Source organism: Homo sapiens, chromosome 15 (assembly GCF_000001405.40).
Source record: "Homo sapiens chromosome 15, GRCh38.p14 Primary Assembly".
Classification (NCBI taxonomy): Eukaryota; Metazoa; Chordata; class Mammalia; order Primates; family Hominidae; genus Homo; species Homo sapiens.
The window spans coordinates 26,677,259-26,700,010 of NC_000015.10; the positions used below are offsets into that span (position 1 = coordinate 26,677,259).

A 22,752-nucleotide genomic window follows, 5' to 3' on the forward strand; every position below is an offset into this window, starting at 1 on the left:
TCCCAGTTAGAACACCTTTCCCTTCGCTGATTTCAAACATGGACTGTTTAAATGCAAATATCCATAGAAGAGATCATACAAATCTTGTTCATTCATTTGCAATGATAACTTTTAAAGTCCTCTCATTCATGGACATCTTAGAGTTTATCACAGCCTTTCCTAAAAGCTGGTTTTGGGGGAGAGAAAATACAGGAAGCCAAGGGCTCTGGCCTCCTCTTGGCCATCCTTCTCCACCCGGGAGACACCACATATGCACTTTACAGAATTCTAGGGCTCAAGCTTGAAGAAGATACCACCCACCCAATTTCTGGGGATCCAGAAGAATGAAGCAAAGGTAGAACAGCTTTCCTTACCCATTCCAAAAAAGGGAAAAGAAAGACAATTTACGGTAAAGGGAACCAAAATTACAATACTACATTGTGATATGGAGGATCAGATTATTTTTTACTATCTCTTTGCTCTGACTTCTTGGTTATTTACTTTGAAGTTAACTCATGAAAATGCTTTAATAGTTTGGGCTCCTGTTTTGTTCATGTTTAAGGGCTATCATGAAGTTCCCATAAGAATTTGTAAATCAGGGAACTAAAACTGTCCTCCCAATTTCACCCAGATATCAGCACACAGGAGGGCAACGAGGGCCTCCAGAAACACATGAAGCAGCCTCCACTACATCTGTGAAAGAGAGGTCAGGAATTTATTTTCCAATTAGGCACTGGGGGCCAGCTCTATCTAAAACTACGCTGTGTGGGCATTTTAGCAATTTGACTAGTGCCAGTAACAAATCCAAAGAAAAAACAGAGTGGGTGTCGCACCAAAGAAAGGAAAGCCCAAAACAAGAGTGAGAGCAGAACCATGTGAGGGCTAGGATAGGGCTGCCCCCAAATGCTCTTGAGACATCTTCATAAGACCCACTCAATCCTTGGTGATTTTTATCTTCACCAACCACAGCAACATTCTCATTATGATTTGGCCTCTCAGGAGGCTGACTGCAGGGAGAGAATGAGCTGGCCCTGTGGACTTCTATGCTTAGGCTGCTGACAATTTCTTATTCTAAATTAATTGACACACATTCTAGTGCCTCCTTCAGGCTCCCGACAATGTTGTTTTCCTGGCCTTCAGCAAGCACGGTGTTACTAACACACCTGACTGCAGAGTGCGGGGAAGATCCTGGCAACAGCCTGCCCAGGCCCCGTGCTCTTCCATGCTTCTCTGTGAACCTTACTGCATGAGAAAGCACGAGAAAGAAAGAGAAAGAAAGCCAGAGGGAGAAAGAGAGCAACACAAGGAGAGAGAGAGAATGAGAGTGAGAGAGAGAGAGAGAGGCAAAGAGAGGGGGAGAGAGATACAGAGAGGAAGAAAAACCGAGAGAAAGCCAGAGCAAGAGAAACAGTAAGAGAGATTCTAAAGGAAATATGGATGGATCGACTCTGAGGTGACCATGGCTCTCAACCCACCCAGGAAGGTGAGTTCTGAAGGACAGCCAGGTATACACTGGGAAGCTGCTTTTCTGGAGCCCTGGTTGCTGGGAGCAAAAAGGCAATTGGGGGCTGGTGTTTCTCTGTCCCAGATGAAAGTGTACCTCACTGAGGCTGAGTTCAGTTCAAGAATCAGAGGAGCCCAGTGATTGTAAAATTTCCATTAAGTGGGAACCCATGATATGTTAGTGTGAGTTTCTATGAACCTCAACTATACAGACAGAGTGGGATAGCTCAAGGGAGGCTGTTCTCTGCAAAGACCCACAGGGCAGGGTCCCTCTAGGCAGGTCTCTATGGAACAGGAGACCCAGAACCTGCAGAAAGACCTCCAGCATCCGCCCCGGGGGCACCAACAAGGTCTATATCATTGGCGATGAAACCAACACTTCAGTCATACCTTATGGGACATGAGGTGTGGGTTGTTGTCTTTTATTTGAATGTGTAAAATCAAAATGAAAACATTAACTCTTTTGGGGGGAAAGTCCCTCTGCCCTCTGGTACTTGCTTCTTAGCCCCTCACTCACTGAGCAATGTGGCTACACTGTCCACTGAAATCTGTTTCTGACCTCCTTAGTGTAAGCACAGGCTGGCATCTACCTTTCTAAAATATCCTCCTTGAACTTTCAGAATAAAACGGTGAGAATCGCACTCACCTGCTCTTGAGAAGTCGCACATACGTACTAGCATTTCACTCTGATCCGGTCACACGCATTGCTCTATGATGTGGTGTCTATTATACATTCACATCACAAACCCAGATGCTCGTCCCTACCTCACCCCACCTCCCTACTTTCAAGGTCAGGTTGACCATTTATTTTGGAAAGGAAATCATTTTTGATGATCACAATATCTTAAGTTAAATATTCTCTAATAGAGAATAGCAGAGAATATTAGAACTGAATCTAGGACCACCCAGAGCCAGAAACAGTTCCCTCCACAAAAGCCCAGAGCCAATCTCACTGCTTCCAGAAAGCTTCCGGAGATGGGGGAATCAGCCTGTCCCAGTGAGCAGGGCAACTTGCTCTTCCCTGCATCAGATGAAATGCTGCATCCTGGGGCTGGGACCCACTGGATCCACAGCATAAATCTAACTCCTCACTCTCTAAGGCACTTGTCAATCATATGTGGAGAGACTGAGCCCTGATCTGTGGCCAGGTTACTCTACAGATTAACTTTCTTATTAGCATCTTCCCTCTATTTCTTTCATAATCTGGTGTGGTAGTTAATTTTACGTGTCATTCATTTTGTTGGGTAGGCTATGGTGCCCAGATGTCTGTTCAAACACAAGTCTAGATGTTGCTATGGAGCTATTTTTCAGATGGGATTAACAGTTAAATCAATAGATTTTGAGTAAGGCAGATTCCCCTCCACGATGAAGGTGGGCCTCATCCAATCAGTCGAAGGTCCTGAAGAAGCCTGAGGTCCTCCCAGGAGGAAGACTGCCTGTAGACTAAGGCTGCAGCATCAGCTCTTTCCAGGGTCTCTAGCCTGTCAGCCTGCACAGCAGATTTCAGAATTGCCAGGCTTCCCAATTGTGTGAGCCAACTGGTTAAAATGAGTATCTCTCTATATACATCCTATTGGTTCTCTTTCTCTGGAGAAGGCTGACAGGCACTTTATCACTCTTGCTCCCTTCCTAACACTGCAAGTGAAATGAATCCCCACCTTGGAAGAACTGGCCTCCTAGTCCTACTTTGCTCACACCCTATATCCTACCCTATGGGCACCCTACAGCCTTGTTATGAAATTGACTCTTCTTGGTGTAACAGTCAAGTTCTATTGTAGCCAAAAATGACACATGGGAACACTGTTCGATATGTCTTCTGGAATAGATGATGCTTACCTTTCAGAGTAAAAATTCCTAAACTTGTTCTTCTCTTCATTTACCGCATGATTAAAAGCAAAGTTGTGGTGGTCAGATTGACTGCAGTGTTAATCATTTACTAGGCAGCTAAACTTTTTTAGCTACTGACTCCATAGAATTGGATATGAGAAATATCCAATAAGTAGGCATGATTATTCAACAACGTCATTAAGAGATACACTACTTTAAATGGTGGCAGCAGTGAGTGGAGAATGCAGCTTGCTCCCTTTTTGAGGCCCCAGAGAGGGGTTTGTTGTCAAACTCAGGTCAAGGAACACCACATTCTTACTGAATAACTATCCTGTCTCCTTTATGCTGCTTGCTAGAAAAAAGGAAGTAAACTTGTGTCCTTCCTCTTGCAATTGTAGCAGCCATGAATGCGTGCATTTTGTAAGATTAACCCTCTTCATGGCTTTATATTACTTCATTCTAATCCTTGTTTTCCTTTAGGCCTGATTTCAAATCTCTTCCTTTTAAAAATCGTATTGCTCATTATGTATTTTTGTAAGCTGCCTTCAATCTTTTGGATGTGATGAGAAATAAACAAACCAACCAACCAGCGGCATTTCTAATATTAGAAATGGATGCGATCATCCTGGATTCCTTCCTCATTTCATTCAGAACTTAGACTCAAAATGACAAGGGGAAGGGATGATATAATTTGCCTTCCATCTCCTTCCTCAGGGAGAAAATCAATGCAAGTTTCTAAATGCCTATTACTTTCCCTCGAAATCAGATTATTAAAAACATAAATAATATCCAAACTGATATTCTGCCCCCCCGTATGGGAAAGGGGATACTGTCAGAACCCAGGTGCTACACCTGACCATGAAGTGGTTCTGCCTCACGTTGTGTCTGTGCTAAGGTATGCAAAGTCAGAGCACCCAGGAAAAGTCCCTTTGTCCCTCCTCCAACGGGCTATGGATTCCTGTCCTTCTCGATGTTTTCAAGAGTTGAGATATATATAATTTTCCATGTTACAAAACAGAAACTGTAAATTTATCTTGGTTCTAATTAATGACAGGCATTCCCAGGCCTTGCAGCTTGGAAATGTATTTCCAATGATGTAAAAGAATGTCTTTGGTCAGAGACAGTGGCTCATGCCTATAATCCCAGCACTCCAGAAGGCCAAGGTGGGTGAATAGCTTGAGGCCAGGAGTTTGAGACTAGCCTGGGAAACACAGTAAGATCCTGACTCTACAAAGAAAATGTTTTATAAGAAAAATTAGCCAGGCATGGTGGCACGTGCCTCTAGTCCCAGCTATCTGGGAGGTGGAGGTGGAAGGATCACTTGAGGATGCAGTGAGCTATGACTGAGCCACTGCACTCCAGCCTGGGTGACAGAGTGAGACTCTGTCTCAAAAAAAAATTATTATTTCACAAAATTATCACAGCATTGCTAACTACTTGCTTCTGTTTACCCTGAATATTTTCTGGGTCTTTTCATTTTATTTTATTTTTTGGAGGAAGATTACTAAATCTTTGACTCAAATGATTTACCCTTAGGTTTGTCCTTATAAGACCTGGTGCTAATGTCTGACCGTCAGTTTCTTGCATTTCTCAACGGTGCCGCGAAGGCAGTGGTGACTCATCCACAGCACAGGCAACTCTACTTTCCCCTTCACATTCACAACGTCCTCAACAAAGGCTGCATGGAATCCTGGGATGAGCGCTTCAATACCTTCCTCCCTCTCCCACTCCCTGTGCAACTGGCCCTTTTTACTGTTATACTGAAGGAAAATGCCCGGGCGGGTTTCCATAAGCTTCCCCATTATTTGCTGGCACAGAGCACATAAAGCCTTATCATGGAGCAAAATGAAATCTGAGCAGGGCCCGTGAAAAGACCAGTACTGACATAACCCCATGCAGGATGTACAGACACGGAGCCCGGCACGGGACAGCCCCCGAGCTTACTTAAATGAAAGAGCATCAACACAATGTTATAGAAAACTCACTCTTGTGCTGGTAGGAGCCTGATGCTGAAAGGGAATTTGGAGTTCTGAGTCCCAGCTTTGCCCCTAACTAGCAGGGTGACTTGGAGTAGAGGTCACATCCCTTGCACCTTAATGTCCTTTGACATAATGATGGATTTGTACCAACTCAGGGATTACACTCCCTCATGCCTGGAGGCCCAGTATTGTTAGACAATGAGGTGGGAGGACTTGAGGCTCTGAAAAGACATCCCTTGTCCTCCATGCATAGGGGGCACTGCCCCTCTGTTCAGGGCCATCACTACCCTGCAAATACACCCATCAACCTCCCAGAACACTCGGCAAGCTGGGGACACAGCCGGCCACTCAGCCTGGAGCCCAAAGAGCAGCTCCTCTCACAGTGCCAGGAGCTCCTGCAGCTGTGGCCTGAATGGCTGTTGGCCACTAGAGAGTGCTGCCCCCACCACTGCCCCCAGCAGCCGGCTCACTGGGTTCTAGGAACAAACTCAGGGCCTGCACTTCTTCCTCTGCTTCAAAACAGACTCCCCAGGCCAGCCAGGTGAGAGCTGCTCACAAAAAACTCTTCCATCAACAAGGCTGCTGGCTGCCAACGCTGGATGTTGGTGTGATGCGGATTGTAAACACTCTTTTGTCGGGCCTCTATTATAAAATAATAGAAACATTTATAATAAATGTTTAAGAGAATTGATAAAATTAATAAATTGTATTATTACAAAATAATAAAGACAGCATATGTGAGCTGGAACTTCCTCTAGGTATCTGAGGGTCGATTTTAATTCCAGACTAGGCACCCACCTGGAGTTTCAGAGCTCCCCCATCGCTGGGTTTCCTGGTAGGAAACAGCTCATTGCTGGGTGGGGTGGGGAATGAGGGCTACCCAATTGGTCTGTTCTTTGCTCCATCACCAGCCCCTAGTCCAGTTCCTGATATAAGGTAAATGCTTTAAAAGGTTGGTGAATGAATCAATGGACGAGATTGACACCTTTCCATTGACCTCTAGGTGCAGACATGATTGTCGTAGCAGAGAAGACATACGTGAACCTGATCTATGTCAGATGTTCTGCCACCCTCGTCTCCTGGAACTGGAAGACAGGAGGAATCTCAATACAGATCATGAGTTTAGACCTGAAAAACGCTTTCATGGCTTTTCCACCACATGCTCCTAGGGGGCAGGGTCGGGGGGAACAAAACACAAACAACCTGTTAGCCACTCTAAAACTATATAGGATTATACACTCTCATACACTCATGAGTGGGGACCTGGCTTGTGGAAAAGGAAAGAATGGCATGAAGAATGTCTCCAATCGGAGGACTGGAGACCTCTCTAGGGAGGTGTGGAGATTGCTGTGACGTTTCCATAACTGACCTAGGAGGAGGAGGGCACAAATCCACCTCCAGGTTTTCAGATGCTGCTGAGTTATTATAAGGAATATAATAGGTTCCCTTCATCCAAGGAATGGGAAAAACCACAGAAGAAGTTTTGAGTGAGATTTAGGCATAAGAGTGACAGCAGGTGGCACTTCAGGGTGTGCACGGTTAGGTTAATAGACTGACTTACCAAATGAACAGCTCCACACTCTCATTTTGCAACCTAGGAAGTGGGGGTGAGGAATATGCTCAGGACGTCCCCTGAAGACCCTAACATTTTCTTTAGTCCGAAACTTACACACAAGTCTGGATCCACCCAGGAGGATGGAAATTGACAACGAAGAGACAATAGGTACACCCCCACATTGCCACCTATTCCTGGACGCAGGGTGGAGGTCTGGTGGCCACAGGCAGGGACGCGGAAATGCAGCTGAAGGCGGTCAATCTAGGTGAGGAGAACAAATGATGGGGAGTACGAGAGAAATGTTCACATATGGGAAGAAAAACGCACCAGAGTGCACCAGTGTGTAGCATTTGCAATTTCTTTCAATAATGTTTCCTTTGCACTCACAACTTGGCTGTTTGGTGCAAGAAGCCTAGCTTTCGGCCTGTTTTGGCTTTCGGCGTGCCTTTCTCACTAAGCTTAATCATTTCTAGCTTCTGATTTACACTGAGGGACGTGCAACTCCTCCTTGCACTTGAACACTTACAGGCCATGGTAGGGTTATTAACTGGCCTATTTCCGATAGTGCTAGGTCTCAGGGTATAGGAAAGGGAAGCCCAAAAACAGGAGAGAGAGAAAGAGAGAGACGGTTGGTGGAGCAGTCAGAACACACACAACACTGATGGATTCAGCTCGCCGTCTTCTATGGGTGCTGTTCATGGTGCCCCAAAACAACCACAGTGGTAAGATCAAGGATCGCTGCTCACAGGTCACCATGACAGACAGAATGATAACAGAAAAGTTTCAAATATTGCAAGAATTACCAAAATGTAACTTGAGGACACTCAATGCGCACATGCTATTCAAAATCTGGCGCCAATAGACTTGCTCGACGCAGGGTTGCCACAAACCCTCAGTTGGTAAAAAACACAGTAACTAAAGCAAAGTGTGATAAAGTTAGATGTGCCTGCACTGTGCCTCCTCCTTTTCTCAGGGGTCAGATGACACTGAAGCATAGCCTTTCCCTGCAGGTCCCATGGGATGAAGCTCCAGGTGGTGACAAGTGAATTAACCACGGGGCTTTGGTGGCTGCCTTCCCACCTGGGTCACTGCCCTACTTCTCCGCCAGCATTCACAACCCTCTCAGATGAAGCCCCTTCCTCTCAGCTCGTCTTCTCAGTGTCTGCTTACAGGGGAGCCAACTAAGGCAATTCATAGCAGAGCTGAGGAATCTTGCAGCACAGAGGCTAATGCATCCCCCTATGGGATGGAGCTGATGATACAGGAATGGAGGCACGAATGGCTGATGATTAGAATGGGAAGACATAAAGATAGGATCCAACTCTATAACAGCACAATTTCCAAGGGAAAAGAGAATTTGGATCTGTTTTCTATATTTCTGAAAATACTTCACCAAGCATTTGTGTTATGTGTTACCCCATATACGAGTACAAAAAAATATAATGTAGAAAAAAATGAGATAGTTTTAGGTATCAAGCAGATGAGATTATCTCAAAAAGTAATGCAGGATGAAAGAAATCATTAGATTCAAGAATACTTTCAATACGATTATGAAACAGTTTATTCAAAATAAATTATTAAAGAGATCTAGTGATAGTAGGAGTGGGCCTCTAACTTGTCAAAATGATGGCTAGGAAAGACCCGCAAATGTACAGCCGATGGCAGGAATATTGGACTGATCTCAGTAGTAAGATGGTCTTTTTTTTTTTTTTTTTGCCCTAGAGACGGGGTCTCACTCTGTCACCCAGGCTGGAGTACAGTGGTGCAATCATAGCTCACTGCAGCCTCAGACTCCTGGGTTCAGGTGTTCCTCCCACTTCAGCTTCCCACGTAGCTAGGATAAAAGGTGTTCACCACCATGCCCAGCTAATTTTTTTAAATTTAGTTTTTTGTAGAGTGGGATCTCGCTATGCTGCTCCGGCTGGTCTCGAATTCCTGGCCTCAAGCTATCTTCCTTCAGCCTCCTGAGTAGCTGGGACTATAAGTGTGTGCCACCATACCTGACTAATTTTTTTATTTTTTGTAGAAACATGGGGTCTTGCTATGTTGCCTAGGCTGGTCTTGAACTCCTGGCCTCAAGGGATCTTCCTGCCTCCACCTCTCAAGTTGCTGGGATTACAGGCGTGAGCCACTGCACCCAGCTCTAAGCTGGTTCTTATGTTCCTAAAATATGAATGACTGTTATAAAAATGACCACCAACTATTTTGAAAAAGGACTGGATATAAAAATAGATTTTCAACAAATGAAGATGAGATGTCACTGAAGTTTTCAGGGGGCATTCTCACCTCTTTGCTGTTGTTGAGAATATTCAGTACCCTCACAAAGTGATACTGATAAATAACTAAGTGATACTGATAAATAACAGTATGAGATCCATTACTATACACAAAGCTCTAAAAATCATGCAACTCCTATCAGAAGGCAAGAATAGGTGTTGACATCTCAGAGACATTTTGATGGTCATACTGTGTGGCTTTAACAATTAACATGATAACAGTGTCATAGCTCATGGAAATATACCCCAGATCAAAGGGTTTTCACAAAGTTAAGGTAATAGGCCAGCAGTGTTGCCTTGCCTTGCCCTGACAGTGTCCCAGGGAAGTGCTGAGACAGCATGAGCACAGCCTCCTTAGCGTGCTGGCACAGTGACGCTACCAGGCCACAGGGCACCCGGCGTGGGATGCCATCCAGGAGTCGCTGTGAATGGCCAACTTGCACAAAGTCTGCTTTGGAAGGAATATATTTAACAGAAGCTCTACCTAGAGTGTGATGGTTCTCCACAAAATGGAAGTTCTAGTATCAATAGTAGCCGCATCTGGGAAAGTGCCAAGGTGAAACTGACAAGCTCAGCACAACAGGCATAAGCTAGATGACCACGCAGCCACCCGCCAGCTCTGGTGCACCATGGGGCTCCATGCCAAGAGGCGCACAGGGATGGCGAGCTGGCTCTGGGACCTAGGGCCTTCCCCTGCCACTCTGGGAAGTGAGGGTGCAGGGAGGAGTCTCTGGGTGTTCTGACTCGTGTCTTCCTCCTCATCCTACTGTCAGATGACTCTCCACTGTGCTCCAGGGAGCTAGATTGAACACTTACATATTCAGCTTTCTCGTGCAGTTTCATAATTTATTTTAAGGATATTTCACAAGAAATTTATCAATGCCACCTTTTCAAAGACCAAAATTATATATGTGTATGGGAGATTTAGAATCTGGTGAAGATTTTAAAATTTCAAAGAGCTTTATTAAATCATATGTTCACTCATATAAGTAACTGCATACAGATGCAACTGCCTAGATACAAAAGAGGTGACGCTAACAGGATACGTGTCCATGCAATGCCCTAAATCAGCGTGACCTGACACATCTCGACATCATGCTTCTCTTTCTCTTCCTCTCTTCCTCCGCCTGCCTACCTCTCCCATCCCCTCCCTTCTCTCTTTGCTTCATTCCTTCCTCTCTTCCCTTTTCCCTCTCTCCCTTCCTTCCTTCTCAATCATTTCTCAGAATGATGAAAAATAGTATAATATAAAATATTTAGAACCATCACATCCTTTGTTTTGTTTTTCACTTAATTGAGAAAAGTTTGACTGACAAGAGCAAAATGGGGCAGGTCTTGCATTTTCCACACCGATTGCTTCTGCTGCCCTGTAGCATATCTGGAGCTGTTAATTACACCTGCTGACTGAAAGTTTTAATAAGTACTTCTGTGATGAATGTTCTTTTCACATCATTAGAAAATGTGTATTTAAAAAGAAGCCCAGCTTCAAACCAAATAATTACCTAGAATAAACACCTATTATTTTAATTGTTAGTAGGTTACAATTACTGAATCTTAGTAACTTTCATCTTTTCCAGAGCACGCTTTTTGAGTCCAGTGGACAACCTATTACTGAGGAAGACACTCTGACTTTATGACATATGACCTTCAGCCAAAAAGTGTAAGAAACTAAAATTAGAAAGTTTTCTTCATTTCATAATGACGACAAGACTGGTCATTTGAGTGGAAAGCTCAAAATCTGTCATTAATTACCATAAAGATGGCATAGTTTGGAGTCAATGGCAAGTATATCCAATACCTTTTTCTCCCTCCAAGTCCTGGTTACTGGATGGACGACTGTGCTGGGCACAGCACAAACACTAAACGGGAACATCAGCCCCGTGATCAATGGGACAGGATGAGCAAATGCCAGCCGTGTGCCCTGGAATTACCAGAGGGTGCCCACTACCCATCACTAGCTCTATGACCCCAGCCAGCCCTTCCCACTCTAAACTTCAGCAGGGGCGATGGCTGACTTGAGGCTGAACCAGCATTTTACAATTATCTGTCCATGGATTAAGCTTCTAGGACTCTATGCCGATACTGGTTTTGTGGTTGTTTGTTTTGTTTCTTTGGGGGTGGGGCATAAAGAATTCAGAGAAGCAGAGGACTCTTCAAACATGCTCTGAAGGAATCAATAAAAATGAGAGCCATAGGTGTGTCACCGATGCTATTTGTGGAGTTTCTGTGATCCATCTCCTAAGTTATTGCTTATGTCCATCTGGAGTTCAACCATACTGGATAAAGGCTACTGTGATCCACATTCACTGCATTGGTTCTATGGGACAGGAATCATAGAAGTCACTTTTGAGGAGTGGCTGAGAAATTCTGATGCTACATAAAGCTAGCCACTGACAGCTGGCTACCCAGGCTGAACACTGTAATATTCAAAGAATCCTACAAAGGTTTCCATAGATGATTTCAGCTGTCTTAGGAGTGGCTAAGCTGTTGACAGGACTGTAAAGCACAAATCTGTAATAAAACTTCAGCTCCTCTTTATTCTGGTTTCTTTAAGCCCCATTTTCTTATGCAGATCCTAAAGCAGGAATAACACTCCTGGAATTGCCTCTCTTTTAAAAGGTTCACAGAGATTTCAACTCATATTTGTCCTCGCCACATTCCTGCAGAATAGAGATGGGTTGGTGGAATCACAAGGCCTCTTTATGAAGTGAGTTCAGTGGTTTGTAATTTCAGGACTGACCCAGGATGGCCGGGGTTAGTCCCAGGTCCCCCAGTGCCCCGCCTGGGACAGTCTTGGTCTCCTGCACCTGGCTTCCTGCGACCTCCATCGCAGACTTGCCCTGGTGACTCAGATGCTTCTACACACACCACAGGAAAAGGGACAGCAAACGTGTACTCAATCACACCTGTCACCTGGAGAATGACAAGGTTCATAAACCTGAAAAAGAGAACTTTATTTCTCATAAAGGGTCACAGCCTGCATGGCCATTCTGACAGGCTGGGAAGCTTGACTACCCACCACAGGCTGGAAACAGACACTTCCAGGAAGGGGCAAAAGGAACTGGAGTTTATGCAGAGTGAGGTGGTCAAGTAAACATGTTTATTAAGCTATGAGGAGTCACGAATATTTATGCAAGGAGAAACATTACACTTCATGCCTCATTACACGTCATGCCTCTTCTTGGGACCCATGTTCAAAAACTGGTGGCGTTAGCATGACCCCAGAGTGGAGTTTTCAGCCCTCTGACATCAAAAGGTGAGGCAGAGGACACGAAACCCCTCACTGTGCATCCATGTCAACCAACCAGAACCACTCTGTGCTGGGTGGTCCCCAAGCAGGAAGGAATGCTGGCCGGTTGTTCTGCTGAAATTACAAGGGAGAGGCCGCCTGGGGAGGCTGTCTGCCATCAGCGGTGAAGCCAGCCTTTCCAAAGGGCTGGTCTGTTTAATTCTTAAGAAAGAAGCCTAATCATGGTCAGCAAGGGAGGGACGATAACGAGGCGTGCCTGATCTCCCCTCCTGCCATGGCTAGGAAAGTTTTCAAGATTGCTCTAGGGTGCCCTCGGCCAAGAGGGTGTCCATTCAGTCAGCTGGAGGGCTTAGAATTTCATTTTTATTTCTCTAACCTAAACTAACAGCTCTAAAATACATCTAAAATAGGGTATTGGCCATACCCCACTAGATACAGCTCTTTTTTTTACCAATCTGGAGAATGAGAAGGTACACGGATTTTTTTTTTTTTTTGAGACAAGGTCTCACTCTGTCACCCAGGCTGGAGTGTAGTGGTGCAATCATAGCTCAGTGATCCTCCCGCCACAGCATTCTGAGTAACTGGGAATACAGGTGCATGGCATGACACCTAGCTATTTTTTTAAACTTTTTGTAGTGACAGGGTCTCACTATGTTGCCCAGACTGGTCTTGAACTCCTGGCCTCAAGTGACCCTCCCACCTAGGCCTCCCAAAGTGCTGGGATTACAGACATAAGCCACCATGCCAGGCCTGAAATTCTTGTACAAAAGCAGTTACAAAGACTTGGGGACAAATACATTGGAGGCACTAATGGTTTCATTCTAGGCAAATAAGAAAGAAACGGTTTCTTGACTACCAATAAGATTAATCCTGAGCCAAGTCAAATTATCACTCAGCCCTGGCCTGTTGGTGTCGGCATGGACATTAGGACAAAACGTAGATCAGGTGGGGACATAGAGCTGGTGATGGGTAGTGGGCACACTCTGGTCATTCCAGGGCAGACGGCTGGCATTTGCTCATCCTGTCCCAGTGATCGTGGGGCTGATGTTCCCACTTAGTGTTTGTGCTGTACCCAGCACAGTCGTCCATCCAGTAACCAGGACTTGGAGGGAGAAAAAGGTATTGGATATACTTGCCATTGACTCCAAATCATGCCATGTTTATGGTAATTAATGACAGGTTTTGCATAATTCCTTGCACCAGAGATCAAAATTCTTGCTCTGTTTGATTCTGGTGCAAGGAATTATGCAAAACCTGTCATCATTAAATGCATGATTACATCAGTGGTGATGCAAGAGTTCTGGCCAATCGCATTTGTTCTACAGATCTCTTTCAAACCCCAGCTGATCCAGTCCTCTTCTCCCCTCCCCACTCACTCCCCCTCCTCCTGTTCGCAATGCATCTTCCCATTCCTGGTCCTTATTCCCTCCTCTCCCTCCCCTTCTTTTTTCTTCAGGATTCTTTTAGCACAGGTTGGACAGCAAATACCTTCTCAGCTGGTACTGAGACACTGAGTCCCAGTCTTGCTCTCCCTGCTCTGTTTTCATTTCTATCTTCTCAAACATCCCTTAGGTTTCTCTTGTTTTTTCCCTCTTTTCCCCTTTTTAATATATGAGTTTTGTATATGAGTTTCTATGGTAACATGAAGCAAAGAAATGATTTCTTTATAAATTTCCTGGTACGGAAGGAAAGAACCATCAAGATGCAAAGACGGGGAAGAAAAAAGAAGCCTGAACAATAGAAAGTAAAAAGGATTAGGGGACTTCACATGGGTGAATCCCAAAAAGGCCACCCCAGGGAGCCTCTGGCCCTATTAGCATCCCTTCCATTCATTACATCCACTCTGCTTCCAGGCAGCTACCTCAGCTGAGCTAGCAGCCTCTCAGAGTAAGGAGGATAGATAGGAAGCGAATGACCCATGGCGAAGGGAATTTGCAAGCAGGTTCTTCAGGGAAGGGAAGGAAGAAAAAAAATTGAATCACAATTTGTTTAATGACCTAATCTCATGAAAAAGGAATTACAAGAAATAAGGTTACTTATCTGTTCCTTCCCTGGGGGTTCTTCTATACTTAATTAATTTCCTACCTACTGATATCAAGACCCAATTTTTGGGTCATTTCAAAAATTCTCAACAAGTTGAGAAAACAAAGAAAACAAAGAAAGAAAGAAAGGCCTTGCTAGTAACTCAATAATCTGCCCCACAACCCATTCCTTATGTGCAGCTCATGGATCTTACAAATATATTGGTGTATCTTCCAGTTTTAGCATCCTTAATCAAAATGTATTATTTATATTGTATCTATTATAACTAACCTGCTCACTGGAGCCTTACACCAGGGTCATGTGTTGGTTCAAGTGGCTGTGATTAGAATTTACTGATTCTTCTCAGTAGCTTGCCACAAATCAGTCTATAGTAAATTAGACTAAAGAGAACATAATTATAAAAATTAGAATTGAAAATAACCCAGAAGAACATATCAACCTCTGCTTCAATACTTCTCACATTGATCAACTCAATATTGACGGGCTTCAAGCCAAGTGTCTTTTCTGCCATCCAAACATGAATTAATCTCATGGAGGTGATCTTTCTCTTCTCAGAAACAATCCCTTTTCTGGTTTGTGGTTGTCTAAGAGAGAGGGTATCCAACTGAAATACACTTTAACATTACAACAGAAATAAGAGACCAAACAGATTGCATGCAGGAGGAAGGTAGTTACAGCTAAACTACCTTTTCTTGGTGGCAGCAGAAACCTTTTCAGATACAAAAGTTCCCATGTTTGAACATCACAAAGATCTCCTTTATATTTCTGTGAAATCTTTAGATATTAGTATTTGGTAAAACAATCAGTTATAGTCCAAAAGTAATTTTCTATCCCGCCAAGACTGTAATCAACTCAAAAAAGCAAGTATTTTGACTCTAGCTTGGAAGCTAGAGATGGCATTAAATTGTGATTATTAATTCCCTAAGTTTTGCACTCAAAGGCTTATGTTCTGCATCATGCATGGCTGACTACTATTTGGAGGTAGCTGATAAGGATACATGCATATTTACTTTAGTCACAAGTCTACATGTGATAATCCCAATAGCTTTTGCAATGAAGGCAGAGAAAAAAATCTTTTTCGTATTATTTATACTGCTTTGATAATGGTATAGTATAAATGCATGTACACTAGGATGCTTTGTGAATCAGAACTACACACAATCAGACCAAGAAATCTCGTTTTACTTAGCCTAGTTCTAATGTTTCCAATTTTGAGAAAAGTTCATTTCTTTTCTATTGGACAAAAATTTTCCCTAAAGAGCAAAGGATTTAGATCCGAACTTTAAGAAAACTATTGGTTACACAAAGGATTGAGGGAGAATATATGCAAAAATTAGAGTCCATGAAAACCAGAACTGCACAGGAAGATCTCTCCCGCTCCCAGGCTCAGACGTCTTTCAAATATTAAGGATCTAATGTCACAACAGTTCCAGCTGGCCAAAATAAACCCATACCAATAATCTATAAACAGGGATTTCTCATTCTAAAGAGCCTTTGTACATTGTTTTACTTGACTCTGACAAGAATCAGGTGAAGAATACATGTATCAGTAAATGTTTTCACAGGTAAGAAAATCCAAAGCACAGAAAGATTATTGAGTTGCCTGAATTCACTCAGCTGATTAATGGCAGAGCCCCAAGCTGGCTCAGCGTTCCTAGCAGTCTCTAAACGTTTCCAGAAAAATGAAACAGCAAGAGGAAACATAAGAGAGGAAATGGAAAGGAATTTCCCCTGCGAGATCATGCTAAATACACAGGCACTTCATGTGCCCTTGTTGGCCTGGTATGAGGAGTTCCACCAGAGCGGTATTTCCACCACATGAGAGCTACACTTCACACTCCCAGAGGAGGTGATCTTGAAACCTCTGGCAGATTTCTGCCTCCCACTCCAACATGTAAAGAGCCTGAAGTTCATCACTCCTGTTCTCACAACAAGAAAAAAAAGCTGAACAAACAAAACAAAACAACTCTTATTAGATCCATCCAAAAACTGAATCCATAGGACAAAGCCCTGAAAACTGGAGAGAGAGAGAGAGAGATAGATACAGAGAATCATAGCTCACTAAGAGGGGAAACTGCCGCTGTAGCCAGCAACTGTTGGGAAAACATACTTGCTGAGATTGTAGATGGAGCATAGCCTACCTTGAGAGTTAAAAATTCCTGGGGGCCCAGTCTTAGGAGAGCCCCTATACTTTTGAGAGTTTTTCCCACCAATAGGCCCATCAAGTTCTCAGATGAAGACTACAGAAAAATCCCCTTGTTCTTCCAGCAGGAAGAGAGGAAAAGAAATCATCTTCCACTGGGCTCAGTGGCTCACACCTGTTCTCCCAGCTACTCAGGAAGCTGAGGTAGGAGGATCACTTGAGGCCAGGAGTTTGAGAACAGCCTGGGCAACATAGTAACATATGTAACAGCCTGGGCAACATATAAAAATTAAAAAATTTTTATAAAAGAAATCATCTTAAAATCCACCCATAGAGTCTTCTTCCCTTAACAAAGGCCTATCTGCAAGGATAACTACTTTACTAGAGCCTAACCAATATGGGGGAAGGAAAGTACCTGATTCCAGACAAATCTATTCTTCTTCTCTCACTTAACGGGGAGAAAAAGAGCTGAGAAGCACTTGTGAAGGTCACAGGCCAGGGACACAGACTTACTAAAAACTGTGACCTAATCACAGAAATATAAAATACTTCTCCCTGATACCTTACCATGACCCCAACAGGGCTCTTGTGTAATAACAAGGAATCACCACTGAAGAACTGAAAGGCTCAGATTCTATTTAAGAAGGAACGTCTAGAGAAGCCCAAAGACAAAAGAGAAGACAAAAACAAGAACACTAGATGAAACTTTAACCTCTAACATCTACAGCTACAGCAAAGAGTAAATACACTTGAACCCCTAGCCAGATAAATATAAAGCCTCACTCTAAAGACTGATTTAACTTAGTTCTCTTTATCCAATGCATCATGTCTGGTTTTCAACAAAAAATTACAAGAGGCTCTAAAAAGCAAAAAACACAGTCTGGAGACAGAGTCAGCATCAGAGTCAGATTTAGATACAGCAGAGATTTTGTAATTATCAGACAAAAAATAAAAAATAGCTATGACTAATATGCTTAGGGCTCTAATAGAAAAAATGTGCACAGTATGCAAGAACAGATGGGTTATGTAAGCAGAGGGATAAAGACACTAAATAAGGATTGAAAGAAAATGCTAGAAACCAAAAACACTGTAACAGCAATGAAGAATGCCTTTGATGGGCCCATCAGTAGATCAGACATAGCTGGGGAAAGAATCAGCGAGCTCACAAATATGTCAATAGAGACTTTTCAAACTGAAAAATAAAGAGAAAAAAGACATTGACAGAATATCCAAGAACCATGGGGCAATTATAAAAGGTATAACAAACGTATATGTAATGGTAATAACAGAAGAAAGACAGGAACTTAAGAAATAGTCAGTGTAACAATGGCTAAGAATTTTCCAAAATTAATGACAGACTAAATAGAATAAATGACCCCCAAAAAATGTACACTTAGGCATATCATATTCAAACTGCAGAAAACCAAGGACCGAGAGAAGATCTTCAAGAAAGTCAGAAGGAAAAAACACGTTGTCTATAGAAGAACAAGGATAAGATTTATACCGGACTTGCTTCCAGAAACCATGAGAACATACAGTAGAGTGAAGAGCTGGAAGAAAGTCAGAGGAAAAAGGATAAGAACTACATCAAATTTTCTTTCAGAAACCATGAAAACATAGAGTAACATAGTTCAATTGTTGAAAGAAGATAACTAACAACCTGGAATTTTTTATTCAGCAAAATTATCCCTGCAATGCAAAGGAGAAATAGTTTCTCACAAACAGAAATTGAGGAAATTTGTTGACAGTAGTTCTGCTTTGCAAGAAATTGTTAAAAGAAGTTCTTCAGAGAGAAAAAAAATTTACATAGGTCAGGAACTCAGATCTGTATAAAGAAAGGGAAAGGATTAAAGAAAAAAATAAGTGATGGTAAAATAAAATATTTTATTTTCCTAATTCTTAATTGATCTAACAAATAACTGTTCAAAATGATAATAGCAACAATGAGTTTGGTGACTACAGCTTCTGGATAGGTGAAATAAGCAAAACATCCTGGAAGTTCTTCCCAAATCCTAGAAGCCAAAACAGAGAGCAGAGAGGCTTTTCCTTGATACTGAGACAGTAAATCCAAGGAAACTGTATCTTCAGGCATGGAGAGGCAATTTGTCTTTTCTTTCTGCCTATGAAAACTCCCAAAAGTCTTTTCTTCCACGGTAGGTTTAAGTAAGAAATTAGTAAGTAAATTCTACATGGGGAACCATGAAACAATACGAAGCAAAACCGGAAACAAAAAGCAACAGTGTTTGGAAGCTGAAATTATTTCTCTCTAAGATGGAAATTTTACATTCTTTGAGGTCTCTTCCCATATTGGACTTATAGGAATCTAGGTTATAAACATCCTTCCTCCTCCAGCTTATTTCCACAGGTGCACACATACTGATAAAGTAAACAGTGCAGTCTCTGTCACTCTGTCACATACTTTATTTTTTTTTATTTTAATAATAGTCACCTGTTTTTAATGCCTCCTGTGACTAGGCATGGTGTTTAGCATTTTGTATATACATTTTCCCATCTAAACCCCGCACACCTTTTTAAGATAGGTACTACTGCTATTACTATTATAATTACTGTTATTATTATTATCATTCAAACAATGAATAAACTGAGGCCCGATGACGTAGAGCAGAAAGGTGCAGGATTGCACTCCAAACTTTGGGACCTGCAATCTTACCTCCCATATACAGGTAATCATCTTTTCCTGGGGACAGAGATATGCTATGCCTGGTATAACCCCATGTACTCAGTCAGAATGGATTTTCAATACAGCAAACCTGTATACACTCTTAGCTTGACACTGGATCAACAGTTACCTGAATCTAGACAGGGGTTTCTCTTCTCAGGGTCCCAGGCAATCTGACTCTTGTCTCCCCAGCAACCAGCAGCCACACTGCCTTTTGCCACGTCGACCCATTCACCACACTTAGGCTGGAACCTGCAGAGGGTCTCAGGGACCCACAGTACAATCGAGAGTACCTGAACACCAATGCGGGTGGGAGACTTTGATGTCAAAGTGCTCCCACAAAAAACTCGCATATGAAGCATGTGTGCTCTGTGACCCCTGGCACTGCAACACTGGGCTACTTCTGACATTGCAATATTGCACCCCGACAATGGCCAACATGCAGTGAATTTAAGGGAATGTCAACAAATGACAAAATCAAATTTAGGGAATTTTTTTAAAAGAAATGATACATCAAAACTTGTGCTTTAAACACATTTATATCCAAACCCACAGAGTTGTTAAGAATCCTTGCAACATACAAGTCTCTTCTGGCTACTTCCACCTACTTGTGGCCTTGCAATTTCAGATCCCCACAGATTCCTTAGAGTGCTAAATGCATGGAAAGTGTAATTCTAAGATTTCAATTATTTTTAAGCACAAGATTATGAAAAATGTTTCTTAAGAAACACATTACCCTAAGTAATGATCTATTCTCAAAGGGTAAGCTTTTCCTTATTATTAAAATAATGTGATTTTCCTTTGAATGCCTTGGAAATAAACATAACCTATATGTGCTTTTCTTTAAAAAAGTAAATTACTAGATTTCTGCTTGAGAAAGAACATTTTCTGGAGAGAAGCAAAGTCTATCAGCACAATCTGTTCAATGACCAATGAGTCAATGTCTCAATCCCTGACCACCAAGGGTAAGCCTCCTACCCCTGCTGAGAGTGGCCTGTCTCCTTCCCTCCACCCTGGCACACTCTCTCAGGTCCTTCTCAAGTCCTCCAGTGAAGCAGGACCTCAGATAATGCAGGAAGAGGGAGCACATATGCCAGTCCATACCCACATTCACCCTTAAATGCTGCTTTTCAATTCTCATCCCACGGCTTCAGAGAGAGTGTGCAAAAAGTCCAATGTGTCCCCTGTCCCCTGGGGTTGAAAAAAGGGACTGCAATATCTCTTTATATCCCCCTCCTCCAATCCAAACATTTTTGAGGTCACTGAGCTGGTAAATCCTGCAAGCCCTCACTGAAGAAAATTGGTCTTAAATACAAGCTTCTTGAGGACCAGGCAACCACGCTGTGCTCTCATTTGTTTCTCCACGTTCACTGTTTCTCCCAGCAGAACTCCGGGCTCTTATCAAAAGAGATGCCACCAAATACTTTTATTTTTCCGTTGAATTACAGATCTATGAAATAATTTAGAACTCATCTGGCATTTCAACTTACCCCACCTCCCTCATCATCTTAGAGCTGATCAAAGGAGTCCCAGCTCATCAACTAAGCAAGCCTCTGTGAATCATGCCCAGCAAAAGAGACACAACAGCCCCCGTGCAATCTGCACAAAAGACAGATGCAAAGGAAGCTGCCAGGTTAGCCTCCCAGACTGCCAAAGAAATGTCAACTGATTATACCCCAGGAGGAAAGCGGACAGATGGATTGACATGAATAACGTCATTAGCCTCTTTGCCTCTGAGAATTAGAAACAGGGAGAAAATGCAATAAAGTGTTTACCCATAGACTCCACAACGTTAGGGTCGGGTAATATTTTGGTTGCTAAAATATTGCCAAAAGATGTATTTACTCTTTATTACATATTCTTCCATTTCTTTTGTGAACTGGCTATGAATTCCAAAGTGAAATCTATTAGAATTCAATGGATCATCTTGTGACCACACTCAGGGAATCACAATTATATACACATTTATAGGGTACTGCTCTGCAAACATAAACAACATTGTGACAAGGGACCTGCAACAAGAAAAAAGGAAGAGATTCTTTAAATGTTCAAAAGGATAAAAATAGAAAAGAGAAAAAATTTTAATGACAAAAAGTATACATCCAAGAGAGAAAACAAATGATAAAACAGAATGAAGAGGGAGGGAAGGGGCAACGTTAAGAGAGGGTCTGATGGGAGATGAGCGATATTTATGGGGCTAATCCTCCCTCTTTTGGGCTCATTATTGCCTTTCCCCTGTCGCTCCCCAAAGGCTCCCGCCTGGCTTGTGTTCACAGATGCATGTTTATTCTCCCTGCACTCAGCTGTCAGAAACTTCATCTGTTAAAATGTTAGCTTCAAAGACTGTGAAAAAGAAAGCCGATATAGTAAATCTAATTCATCAACTAAAACAATGACAAAAACATAACATTTATTTTTGAGTGAGCTATGTTGAACCTCTATAATAGTGACATAATTGCCCATTTTAGATTAAATAATTAAAATTTTAATAAAACTAAGAGAAAAAGGAACGTCATTCATATAGTGTGATGAGCGTTTGATTTTACATTAAGTTAATGTTATGAGAACAGTGAAAAAAAGGAAAAACGGACACAAAGTGCATTGAGAAGCAGGAATATAAATATTAGAGGAAAATTTGTCAGAGTTTAAGAAGAAGTTTCCAGAACTGGGAACAGTATCTGTTCCCACAGAGCAGCATTCATAGGGCATGAGATGGAGTACACAGAAGGTCTTGCCTCAGTAATAGTAATGATTAAATCTAGACTAGGCAATGCTCCAGTATTGCTTAACCAATATTAGCAAGACCCAAAAGGATAAAATGTTTCCAAGTAACGTAACTGTGTCAAAGAACAAAGCGCAAGAATATTTCTAGGAAGGCAAAAATATCCAGTACTCAGCAAGTTAAAATTCACAATGTCTGGCATCCAAACAGAGATTACCAGACAAGTAAGGAAGCATGAAAATATAACCCAGAATACGGAAGTACATCGGTGAATCAAAAAAAAAAAAACTCAAAACTTTTTTAAATGTCAGAATTAGCAAAGACATTTTAAAAGTTATTATAAGTCTATTCTCGATACTCAAAAAGTTAACTAGATCCACAAAAGATAACACAAAAGACTAAGATTGAGCTTCTAGAAATAAAATCAATAATATTTGAGATGAAAATACACAGATGGAAGTAGCTATACACTAGAACTTGCAGGAGAAAAGGTGAGTATATTTGAGGACATTGCATTAGAAACAACTCAAAATAAAATACAGAGAGCAAACAAAAGAAAAAATAAAAGAGCGTAAGTGAGATTTTTGAATTGAATAAAAATGGAAACATAATATTGTGGGCTGCTTAAATAAGAAATATTTAAGAAAATTTACAACCACTGAAAGTCTATTTTTTCAAAAAAAAAAGTTTCAAATCAATATCCTTAGCTTCCACTTTATAAAACTGGAAAAATTAGATAATATTAAACCCAAAGTTAGTAGAGGAAAGAAAATAATAAAGATCAGATTAGAAGTC

At 42.1% G+C, this 22,752-nt stretch overlaps 1 protein-coding gene across 4 annotated transcripts in view, besides 1 other annotated feature; it reads right to left on the reverse strand.

Annotated features, from left to right (window-relative positions):
• The window catches only part of GABRB3 (gamma-aminobutyric acid type A receptor subunit beta3), a 230,212-nt gene that overhangs the window by 133,707 nt on the left and 73,753 nt on the right, over positions 1 to 22,752 (reverse strand). The window lies entirely within an intron of this gene.
• Positions 11,473 to 12,218: an enhancer, noted in NCBI's record as "H3K27ac-H3K4me1 hESC enhancer chr15:26933878-26934623 (GRCh37/hg19 assembly coordinates)". NCBI's record gives its function as "activates a minimal SCP1, AML or CMV promoter by ChIP-STARR-seq in primed H9 embryonic stem cells {active_cell/tissue: H9 hESC(primed)}" and the evidence as "EXISTENCE:reporter gene assay evidence [ECO:0000049][PMID:30033119]".